This window comes from Homo sapiens, chromosome 11 (genome assembly GCF_000001405.40).
Source record: "Homo sapiens chromosome 11, GRCh38.p14 Primary Assembly".
Taxonomy (NCBI): domain Eukaryota; kingdom Metazoa; phylum Chordata; class Mammalia; order Primates; family Hominidae; genus Homo; species Homo sapiens.
In genome coordinates this window covers 75,786,833-75,798,637 of record NC_000011.10, presented here as the reverse complement: position 1 = coordinate 75,798,637, position 11,805 = coordinate 75,786,833, and the positions used below count along the sequence as shown (strand labels likewise).

The 11,805-nt window shown below is 52.5% G+C and overlaps 1 protein-coding gene across 4 annotated transcripts in view, besides 1 other annotated feature; it reads right to left on the bottom strand.

The window, feature by feature from the left end:
* DGAT2 (diacylglycerol O-acyltransferase 2) overlaps window positions 1-11,805 on the bottom strand; it is a 32,757-nt gene that overhangs the window by 2,897 nt on the left and 18,055 nt on the right. For all 4 annotated transcript variants that reach the window (NM_032564.5, NM_001253891.2, XM_011545304.3 and 1 more), the window contains 5 exons: window positions 8,343-8,450; window positions 7,907-7,977; window positions 2,106-2,310; window positions 1,306-1,480; window positions 209-411 (listed from right to left, as the gene is read on the bottom strand). In NM_032564.5, coding sequence (NP_115953.2) covers window positions 209-411; window positions 1,306-1,480; window positions 2,106-2,310; window positions 7,907-7,977; window positions 8,343-8,450 — 762 coding nt within the window. The remainder of the gene's footprint in view (window positions 1-208; window positions 412-1,305; window positions 1,481-2,105; window positions 2,311-7,906; window positions 7,978-8,342; window positions 8,451-11,805) is intronic.
* Window positions 1,478-1,527: a silencer, noted in NCBI's record as "silent region_3776". NCBI's record gives its function as "represses an Ori minimal core promoter by ATAC-STARR-seq in GM12878 lymphoblastoid cells {active_cell/tissue: GM12878}" and the evidence as "EXISTENCE:reporter gene assay evidence [ECO:0000049][PMID:35858748]".

Sequence of the window (11,805 nt, the reverse complement as noted above, 5' to 3'; positions counted from 1 at the left end):
AGCTTGGTTCATCCCATAGGCTCAATTCCCCGACTCCTACTACTACCCCTCCTGACCAATATCAGCACCCAACACTTCAAAGTCCTCATGGCTAAGGGCATGGCCATCAGAGCCAGGTGGCCTGCATTGGAATCCCGTCTCTACTGCTGATTAGCTGTATGGCACCCTGTGTTCAGGACAGCCCTTGGTCTGCAGGCTAGGGGCTTACCAACAGTGGTGATGGGCTTGGAGTAGGGCACCAGCCCCCAGGTGTCGGAGGAGAAGAGGCCTCGACCATGGAAGATGCATGGGGCGAAACCAATGTATTTCTGGAACTTCTTCTGGACCCATCGGCCCCAGGAGCCCTCCTCGAAGATCACCTGCTTGTACACTTCATTCTCTCCAAAGGAGTAGATGGGAACCAGGTCAGCTCTGGAAGGGAGAGGCCAGGGTCTGTCATACCCTACTTACTGGCTTCAGTTTCTATGTCAGCCTAGAGGCCCTGGACACTGGCCAAGCATCCCCCTCCCCCAGCTGGGTGTACCAGAATTACCTGGGTGTCCCAAGTTCACATGATCCCTCTCTACCAGGTTCTGATGGGCCTTCTGCCCCACTGCTAGGGACTGGGGAGCATATCAGAGCTCTGGGTCCCCCAGGCAAAGGGAAGGCTGAGCGCCCTGCTCTGGAATGCCTGTTTTCCACCTCTTCCTGCAGGGCCTGCCTCTGCCAGGAAGTTCTCTTGGTCCCTCCACCAAACCAGGCCTCTCTCAGCCCTGGACTCACCATTGTTTCACAGTCTCAGCACACTGTGTTGTCACTGTCCATCCCTCTACCCTCCCCCACCCTTGGTGCTCCCTGAAGGCAGGGACTGGGTCCAATATGAATGTGTCCCCAGGGGCTGGCCCAGGGCTGAGCCTGCAGGGCAGCCTCTTCTTCCAAAGCCTGAGGTAAGGTCCCCAGGGGACAGAGAAAACAGCTGCTGTCCCCCAGCCACATTCCACACCACCCTCCTTCCTGACCTCCTGGTCTCCCAGCAAAATGATATATTCTGGCCCCAGGTGGTCCAGTCCTGCATATAAGCCTGGACTCTCGGCCCACCTGCAAGGGCCCACAGGCCACAGGTTGCATCTGTGCCCACCCAGACACACATGGGCAAACTTGGCCCACACTGTGCAGTCTGGGCTCCAACATCCCCTCCCTAACAGAATGACTGACTCCCTTCCATGCCTTCCTGGGGTCTGGGTCCTGTCTTCAGGGGCCAAGGAGTCTGCTGCCCTGGGCTGAGGGGCACTGGAGGGGTGTGTGTGTGTGTAGGGAGGCACTCACCCATGACGCAGGGCCAGTTTCACAAAGCCCTTGCGGTTCCGCAGGGTGACTGCATTCTTGCCAGGCATGGAGCTCAGAGACTCAGCCGCACCCCCGACCACGATGATGATAGCATTGCCACTCCCATTCTTTGAAAGCAAATAGTCTATGGTGTCCCGGCTGACAGGGCAGATACCTGAGGGGAGGGAAGGACGCAACAGTCAGGGTTGCCCATGGATCCACTCCCCATCCCCGGCACACAGTCAGGTATAAAACATAAAGAACCCTGGACCTGGGCCCCAGACCTAGCCCAGCCCCTTTGGAGTTGTCTGGTTCTGTGTAAGCTATTCATTTTTCTGAGCCTCAGTTTCCTCATCTGTAAAATGCAGCTAATGATACAAGGTTGTTTTGGGAACTCATGCATTTGGCAAACATTCCCAGGGCCCTAATTCTGCCAAGTCGGTGCGAGGTGTTGGGGATCCCAATGCATCAGTCTGGTGGGAGGTCTCAGGCAGGTGGACAATTACAGTGCCATGGACAACAATCAGGTTGTACAAAAGGCAACACAAGGGCTGGGGGTCCCCAGAAAAGGGGGTCAAAGAAGGCCTCCTAGGGAAGATGTTATCCGAGTTGAATTCTCAAGACCATATGGACAGCTCTCCTCCTCAGCCCTGACCCACCATGTCTGAAGCAGGTTGCATCTCCCAATGCAGGCCCAGCACCAAGGAATGGTGTGTTGGCTCCCTGTGTCACCCTGCCCGATGGAGAGGCTCAGGCCTTGACAACAGTGCCCAGCAGGAGCACAGGGGGTGGATTCTTACCTCCAGACATCAGGTACTCCCTCAACACAGGCATTCGGAAGTTGCCTGCCAGTGTAGCCAGGTAAGGCCGTATGCCTGGGAACTTCTTGCTCACTTCTGTGGCCTCTGTGCTGAAGTTGCAGAAGGCACCCAGGCCCATGATACCATGGGGGTGGTATCCAAAGATATAGTTCCTGGTGGTCAGCAGGTTGTGTGTCTTCACCAGCTGCAAGGATGACCTTGGGTCAGAGGAAACTGGCTGGGAGAGGGATACCGGGGCATACCCGGAGGGTAGGGAGGGATTGGATGTGTCATTTCCCCTGGACCTCCATGGGCCTGAGGGCTGCAATGAATCTCCACACCTTACCTCAGACTCTCATCCCCAGGGCCACAGTGCTGGTGTTGGGCAGTCACCATTTGCACTGTGGGTCTCTGGGAAGGGGTGGGCAATGTTTGCCCTTGTTCCTCTCAGTCTTCAGCCATGCACACAGCAGCTCTTCTTTGCACTCTGCCAGCCTCCTGCCTTCCCTCCCTCTGGGCCCATCCTTTTCGCAACAGCCAGAGTGATTATTCTAAAACTCAAATCCAACCCTTGTCACTCTTAGACTGGAGAGTGTGTCTGGCTTCATGTGAGTAAAGTCCAAGTTCCTGAGTTTGGCAACCGGGGCCTTGGCTGCAAGCTCTGCCCCCACTGTCAGTCTCTCCAAACTGTGAGCTCCTTGGAGGTAGGGTTTACTTGGCCCTGTGCTCTGTGGGCTCCTCCACAGCTCACAGAATGAGACAGGCAGCCCACCTCCTACTCCCCTGGCCTGGAAAAGGGACACTGCAGCTGGCCCAAATGGAAACTTTCCCACAGTCAGCTGGGCTCAGTTCAGGTTCTAAGGCAGGAAGGACAAGACAGGACAAGCGACAGCCCTGTGCCAGCCAGCCTGGGGTAGAGGTTAGTTGTAAGGCTGCAGCAGCTGAGGACCTGACCTGTGGTACTAAGGACACTGGGATGCTCTAAACGATGATTGGCTTCCTCAGGGCCCACCTCCTGCCCTGGGGCTGGTGCTTGAAGGGGTGGGTGATGCAGTGTCCCTAAACCCTGAGTCATGAGAGGCAAAGCCTGTGACACCTACCCTGTGTTACAAGGAATGTGATGGGGGTGGAAGAGGCTGAGAGAGACAATGAGTAAGGGTATTCTGCTCATAAAAACATCATTTTTATTCTGATTAGAAAAATAATAGGGCCAGGCATGGTGGCTCATGCCTGTTATCCCAACACTTTGGGAGGCCAAGGTGGGAGGATTGCTTCAGCTCAGGAGTTTGAGACCAGCCTGGGCAACATGGTGAAACGCTTATCTCTACAAAAATACAGAAATTAACTGGGCATGGTGGCACGCACCTGTGGTCCCAGCTACTCAGGAGGCTGAGGTGGAAAGATGGCTTGAGCCCAGGAGGCAGAGGCTGCAGTAAACCGAGATTGCACCACTGCACTCAAGCCTGAGTGACAGAGTGAGAAGAAAGGAAAGAAGGAAAGGAAGAAAGGAGAGAAGGGAGAGGAGAGGAGAGGGGAGAGGAACGGAGGAGAGGGCAGAGGAACGGAGGAGAGGGGAGAGGAACGGAGGAGGGGGAGGGGAGGGGAGGGGAGGGGAGAGGGAAAAGAAGAGAAACTCCTAGAGAATTTTAAAAATATAGGAAAGCAAAAAGAAAATTTAAAAAATCCATAATATTTCCATCCAGATAAAACCATCTGACGCATTGAGTCCTTTTTCTACTCAAAAATATACATGCTCTTTTTCAAAACCCACAAAATTGAGGTTATATGGGTTGATATCATTTTTATATCATTTTCTACCAAACATACAGCTATCTGTCCTTATCAAAATCCCTCAGTTCCATATCTTCTCGTGGCTGCATTTGTATTCTACAGCACAGCTCTCATGCATGTAACAGCACTGACTCAAACCCTGATTGATGGACATTTTAAAAGCTTCCAAAATTTCCCTCTTAGAAGTAATGCTTCAATAAATACCTTATCTTTGTCCACATATCTGATTGCTTTTGTGAAACAAACTTCTAGAAATACAATTCCTGGATAACAAGGAATGAACACGTTGGTCTTTTTGGCTGCCCTGCCTCAAAAGAGGTGACATCAATGACACTCCCACCTGAGTGCTGCAAAGTGCCCCTTCCCTGCACTGGTGCCAGCTGGAAGCAGAGTCACTGGCCACCAGCAGAATGTCAAGAGCCCAGGTTTTCTGTGACTCCAGATTTGGGAGCCTCCTGGCAGAGCTGAAGGACTTGTGTGCAGCTCTGGGGGAGAGGGTGCTGGTGGCTGGCCTTGGAAAATTGAAATGCAAATCTTCAGGTGACAGAGGGGATGGAAAAGGCTGGCTGGCACCACTCCCAGCTCTGACGCTGCCAGTCTGTGCAAATGTGAGCAAGACTCCCTCACTCTCATCCCCACTGCTTGGGGCACTGATGCTCTTTCTCCCGCTTTGCCCTTGGCAAACAGATTAAAGTTGCTCAAAAACCAAACCAACTCTCAGCTACTCCCCAAATAAATGGGAAACAGCAGCAGTCTAATCCATAGCTAGTGGGGCTCGGGGCAGCGAGCAGATCTCAAAATCTCGTTTACATGAGCTCTGTTAAGATTGCTGTTCCAATGTTTTGCCTAACAAGCAGGTCTGCCCACCAAGTTAGCTCTCAGTGAAGCTGGAATTAAAAAGTTCCTTGTGCTAGTTTTGATGAAAAAGGCAGGCAGGCATTGAGGGAAGAGCTGGGGCAGCCAATACCAGGTGGGAAACTTGGAAACTTGCTCCTGAGCTGATGGCCAGGCCTGGGATAGTTACCCTGGCAGGTGACCATCACGCCGTGCAGCATCTTTTTGTCCCCTTCCTATGGCTCCCCCGACCTTCCCACTGGGCCGATAACCAGGAACCCACAGCACTGCATGGGCTGGCAGAGCCCTGAAAGGTCTAAGCCATTCCTTGGATGACGGGGGGAAGCTGAGGCCTAGAAAAGGGAGCTGCAATTCCCCTGTGGAGGTCACAGCAAATTATCCTGCACATCTGGAGCAGGCCAGTCGCTGCACTTTTCCCTGGGCTGCTGGATGAAGATGTGTCACCCAGTGGGCCCCAGGTGGCTCTTTAAATCATTTCCTCCCTCCCCAAGGCTCTGATGGGACATTTGGTTGAATGAGGTGCCTTGGGACACAGTGCAAGTCAATGCCCTTGCTGTAGGACCCAGAAGAATGTAGGCATCTGACCAGCTCTGATCTGTTTTCATGTCACACTCCCCTCCCCCAGGGCTGGAGAGAATGTCCGTTCTGGAAGGAGGGGAAGGATACCGCCAATGAAGGTTCTGTTGACATGCCTGCTCTTGTGTCCTCTTGCTGCCTGTTTCCCGTGGCAAAGTCCCAGCCCAACACGATGCCCAGGCCCGGCCTGCTCGCTAATGTCAGTCTGGGACACATTCCTATCAAGTCACTCTTTATACCCTCCCTCCCAGGAGAGGCAAGGTGCTCAGATAGGCTTGTCCCACCACAGCAGTGCATAGAGGAAAAAATTCAGACCCACAGAAGAGCAAAGGCTTGCTTAAGTTTACACAGCACGGCATGGTGATGGTGAAAGTAACACAGGAGTAAGACCATGGGCCCCAAAGCAGACAGCCCTGGTTCCTACACTAGTCCTGCTACTACTTAAGCTTTGTGACCTTGGGATAGTCCCTCCTCTCTGTGCCTCAGTAAGCCTATCAGTGAAATGAGGCAGATGGACAGGTGATTCTAAGCTTAGAGAGAGTGTTTCCTAGTCTCCTCTCCAAGGATTCTGCCTACACTTTGGGGAGAGGTGATGTGGGGCACTGTCTGCTCCTCTTCCAGGTGGCTGGTGGTCTCGGTGGCTGTTGCTAACACAAGAACCCCACCTGTGCCAACAGAAGGGATACACTCTGGGCCAGATGAGCTGTTCTGGCAGCAAAGACCAGAGTCCCACCAGGAAGGGAGTAGGTGGGCGGGTGGGTACAGCGGCAGATCTTCATTACATGATTACTGGCAAGAGGCCAGGAAAAGGGGGTGGGACAGGAGGGTCACACACACCCCCATAGAGTGTCAGACCTGATGTCAGATCACCAAGGCCAAGTGAAGGGGAGATTGAGGCCCAGAGGGAGAGAGGCAGGCTCAGCCTAAGCCCCGGGTTGATCAGCCTAAGCCCCGGGTTGAGGCTCAACACCCCAGCCTGCCTCGGGCCCAGTTTGGCTTTTGTCCTAGTGCCCCAGGGAGCCCTCACAGGGCCAGGTTGTATGTGCCCTAAGGCTCCAACTCCCAGCTGACTTCTTGGAACAGAGATGTGAGAAGGACACAGGGGTTTGTTTGGTTCTTTTGGAAGGGTGGAGATCAGATAGCAAAGGACACCTGCCTGTCCCAGGTCTGACCAACAATCATCAGGTCATCCTGTTCTAAGTGGATGGGGCTACTGGCCTCCTGGAGACTTCCAGAGGACCAGGCCACAGTGGCAACAGAGAACACTGGAGCCTGGCCCCTGAGGTGAGAGAGAAAGCAGAAAGAACAGTCTATCATCACTCCCACCCAATCAGAACTGATTACTTTTCATCATACAGACAGCTCCATTTTGCAGATGAGGCTCAGCAGGCTTGAGAAAGTCTGCCCATGGCCCCATGGCAGAAAGTGACAAAGTCTATCAGGATGCAATAGACACCCCAAGGGCAGGGCTGACTTGTGTCCCCATGCCCAGCACAGCCCTGCACTGGACAGGGAGCAATGGTGGCAGGTTAATAAATGGAGTGACAGGGCAGGAACTTAAACTGAGATCTCCAGCAGCAACGGGGGAGAGGGAGACCCAGGAAGCTGGAATCAATCCAATGGGGAAATCCAGGGATTGAATCTCTCCCAGAGAAACAGGCAGTAGGAAATCAGTGGAAAAGAACCTGGGCCCTGAATTCAATAAGCCTGGATGGTGGTTGCAATGTTGCCATCATACTAGACTATGCAGCCTGGACAAGTCCTGCCCATCTCTGAGGCTCAGTTTCTTTACCTCCAAAATTAGAGGGTTGGGTCCTATGATGCAACTTTCTCCCAACAAAAACAGCTTCAAATTTTCTGCAGTTAGAGAGATGGGGTCAGGAAAAGGAGAAGGAACGCTGACCCTGAGGAGCAGGAAGGTCCCGGGAAGACTGGGCTTAGGCTAAGGATGAGCAGAAGGAGCTGGCCCTGCCACCCCCAAAATACCGAATGCAGTGAAGGATGCAGGGTTACCCAGCCACTGCCCCCAGGCAACACACCAGGATCTCAGTCACTGACTCACAACAGCAAATATACACCACCCTGCACCCTGCACAGAACTCTTTCACATTCACGTGCTGCCTCCACTCTTCAGCACCCCTACCTTCTGCAGGGTACTCAGCAGCTAGGGTGTGCTGGAGCTGGGGTGTGGAGTGAGCTGGCCAGACAGGTCTTTCCCCTGTGGGGAAAACCTTCAGGATCCTGCCAGAGTTATCCTCAATTCACCAGGATTGCCCACATGCATCAGGGCCAGATGGCTGTGCCTCACCAGCCCAGCTTGCAGACCAGGCAGGGGCCAGACAGAGCTGAGACTGAAAGCCAAACTGAGCCACCATTTCCCTGTCAGGACCTCAGGGCTGGCCCAAAGAAGATGGATACTCAGAAGAGCAGTGGGGTCCCCAGCACAGCCAGTGACACAGTAGAAAGGAAATGAAGAGACCAACTTGGTCTAAACTTGCTTCCCTGTGGGTGGGTTAAGGCCTGAGTTCAGATTTCCCATCCATTCCCACCCTCCCAAAACAACACTCACAGCACTTTACCTGGATGGGAAAGTAGTCTCGAAAGTAGCGCCACACAGCCCAGTTTCGGACCCACTGTGACCTCCTGCCACCTTCCAGGGAATAAAATACAGAGTTGGTGGGGGTGGGGGTACATTTGGGCAAGGCAGACAAGACAGGGCCAGTGTGAAACCCAAGCAGGTGACCATCACCCCATGCACCATGCCCCCTTCCCATCAGGCCCCTTTCCACATTCATTCCTTCATGTTATGCAAACCCTCGACTGAGTGTGAACTCTTGTCAGGACCAGAACAGTGCCCTTTGAGGGGCTTTTAACCTCCCCCCAAAAGGACTAGTCCAGTGCTTTTCACAAAGTGGGTGTTAAAAGAAACAGCACTCAGGATGAGGCCCTTCAGCTTGTGCAGGGGGAAGAGCATCCCTAGAATGAGAGGTGGGGCAAGGGAGGCCTTGCACTTACCTTTCTTGGGTGTGTTCCAGTCAAACACCAGCCAAGTGAAGTAGAGCACAGCGATGAGCCAGCAATCAGTGCAGAATATGTACATGAGGATGGCACTGCAGGCCACTCCTGGGGGGCAGATGGCCACAGGTCAGGTCCTACTGGGCTTCATCTCCCCTCTGGGCCATGGTGGATGGAGTGAGTGTTTACTGTGGCACTAAGCTAGGCACACCCAGGGCCATGGGCATGGGGCCCACAAACCCTGAGAAATAGCTACAGGAATGTTCAGCCCAGGTAGGAGCAGATTCCTGGGACAAGAGGAGCCTCATCTCCCAGACTCTGATGGACTGTCCTGGCATCGAGGGGCCCATGGGCTCCATGTTATCTGGACAGGAGCACCAAAGGAGATAGGCTTCAGCTTCTTGTGAAGCTGCTCTTACTGTCCCCTCCTTGTGTGCGCCCCCATGCCAGCACCCAGCCCAGACACTGTGGATAAGGGGAGGGAACACCTACCCAGTGCCTCTGCATCTCAAGACTGGGGCTGAGCCACTGTCTCAAGTGTAAGGCAGGGTGACTTTGCCCCATTTTAGAGATAAGAACACTGAGGCTCAAGGGGGAGATAACTTGCCCAAGGTCACCCAGCAGGACAGTGGCAGAGCCAGGATTCAAACACAGGTCTGACTCTACAGTCCGTTCTCTGTATTAGGCTTTAGAAATTCACCAAAGTCCCAGACCATCACTAGAGGGACCGGAGAGGGGACACTTGCCCAGGAGGAGGGCTGGCTCCCTTCCAACATAACGGCAATCCAGGAAGTCCCAGGCCAAAGCGCAGAGCCCATCAGCCTCCCTGTCTTCAAAAACTTCAGCAGCCAGGCACAGTGGCTCACACCCGTAATCCCAGCACTTTGGGAAGCTGAGGTGGTGGACTGCTTGAGCTCAGAAATTCAAGACCAGCCTGGGCAACATAGCGAGACTCCATCTCTACAAAAAAATTTAAAAAATTAGCTGGGCAAGGTGGCATGTGCCTGTAGTCCCAGCTACTCAGGAGGCTGAGATGGGAAGACTCCTTAAGCCAGGAGTTTGAAGCTGCAGTGAGCCATGATCGCGCCACTACACTGCAACCTGGGCAACAGAGGGAATCTCTGTCTCAAAAGTAAAAAAAAAAAAACCCTAACAGCACACTTGGAAGACTTGCCTGGGGGCTGGCTTCCACTGGTCACCATGTTCTGGGCCTGTAGGTCATAAGAGAGACTAATCTAGCCTGGCACAGAAAGGAAGGAGAGCTTGTGCCATGCCTGCTTTATCTCATGGCTCGCCACTAGCTGCCCTCAGCAGGGCTTCTCTCTTTCCATTTTTTACCCAACCTTTAAGGCCTATCTCAGACCTCAGCTCTTCAAGAAGTGTTCCCCAATATCATACTATCTACATATCATCTCTTGCCTGTGAATTTCCCACACTGGGTGGGGAGGCATCTTCTTTGGTCCTTGGCATTCAGCACAAGGGCAAGGGCAGCAGGTACTCATGTTTGGTGGGAGAAGCATGGACTCCTTCTAGGACTTTTTCCACTGCCCAAGAAGGGAGGCCAACCCTTGCTGTGTGCCCATTCCCTGGTGGTCCCAGGTGCTGTAGGCTGCCTGGCTCTGGATGTCATGCTCTCTTCTCACCATGTTGAGCCTCCTTTGGTTTCCCATGGGAGAAGATAAGGCTGGATGTAGACTCTCCATGAGCCTAAAGGGAGGGAAATGGTAGCCCCTTGTTGCCCCCCAATCTAGCCCTGTTCTAGACTCCTGAGCCAGCCTCTCCCCAGGGTAGCTAAAAACAGGGTACAACTCTCTTGTTGGGAGGAACAGTGAATACAGAGTGACGAGATGTCCAATTTTTCAGGACCAGCTTAGGGGTGTGACATCGCAGAAGGGAAGACAAGTTTCTAGGGAAGCATGTGCAGCCTACAAGAGCCTGTTAAAAGCAAACTGTGAAAAGCTTACGGTAGCTTGGTGAATAGCTATGTCTAAAGGCTGCCTACAAAGTCATACTTACTGTTCAGCAGTCTGCCTGATTCCCTTTCTTGGGCCTGAAAAGGGAAGACTCTAGCCCCCCAGACTCTACAGGCATCCAGGCTCCTCTAGTGGCATCCTCTAGGTGGATGCTCCAGGTGGGCCAGATAGGGACGATGAGGTTTAGGCTATGGTCTGAGCATCCTGGAAACCTAGCTTCCAGAAATCTCTAACTCTCTTGAGGGGTAAAAGGACCAGAGGGGGCTGAGCTCCAGGCCCCACTGCTTAGAGGGCTGGTCTCTCTGGGAAGGGGGGTAACCCTACCCACTTGTCCTTACTCTGCTGCTGAGGCAGCCTGGATGGAGAAGAAGAGGCCTGATGGGGTATCCAGAGACTGAATTCTAGCCTGGCCTTTCTCAGCTGGGGGCTCCCTCCCCTCCCCTATGTGTCCACAGCCCTCTCTGAAACCACTCACCATCCCTTTCATCATCTGCCTCCCTCATTGGACTCCCACTAACAGACAGCCCTTCAGCCCGAGCTCCTTGGGAGCAGAAACCAGGTCAGATTAATCTCTCCAGCCCCAGAAACCAAACACAGGAAGAGCAAAAGGATGAACTAAATCCACCAAATGACCTTCCTTTCTCAGAGCCTAATCCTTGTCCTCTGAACAACAGGCTCTGGTTCCATGCTCTTAGGTTGTGGGGCTGCAGTAAAAACCACTGTTGCTGAGCTCATGAGAAGCTTAGAAGGCCCTGCTTTGCCCCACACATGGAAGGCTCAGGACCACTTTCACACATCACCTGCTTCCTGCACATTATGGTGGCCTACAAAGACACTTGTGATACAAAATTCTGAAGCCACGAGGCCTGTGGTGCAGGGCAGCCTGTGGATGCTCAATGGCAGGGAAGGCAGCAGTGTGGCCTGGTGAAGAGCATGGACTCTGAGACCAAACAGACCTGGAGCCTTGGCCCTGCCACTTGCTGGCCAAGCCCCATTCCTAAGCCTTAATTTCCTTACAGGGTATTGGGAAAATTAAATATGATGTTTGAACTTACTCAGCCTGACACACAATATCCATGGACTTGGATGGGGAAACAAATGACATCTAAATTTTCACTTATCTCTTATGGAAATGTGGCATTTCCTTCACTTACCAATATAATAAATCACAGAATTATCAGCAGTACTTATGACACAAATAAATAACAAAGGTATTTTCATATAACTTTGTAGCAGTTGCAGATATCTTAAAAAAAATCATTTCTTCTCATCACTACTTAAGAACTATAGTAATTATTACATGTGCTGCTAGATCTTTTTATTTACTGTAATAAAAAGGCACCTGTTACTACATGTCTAATCAGCTTTTTTAATGTATAGATATTTATATTTTATTATCAGTAGTTTCCTTTGAAATCCAATGCACCTTGTATTAAATACTCTAAAACACTGAGAAAGGGCATAGGCCTCATCAAAATGACAGAGGGTTC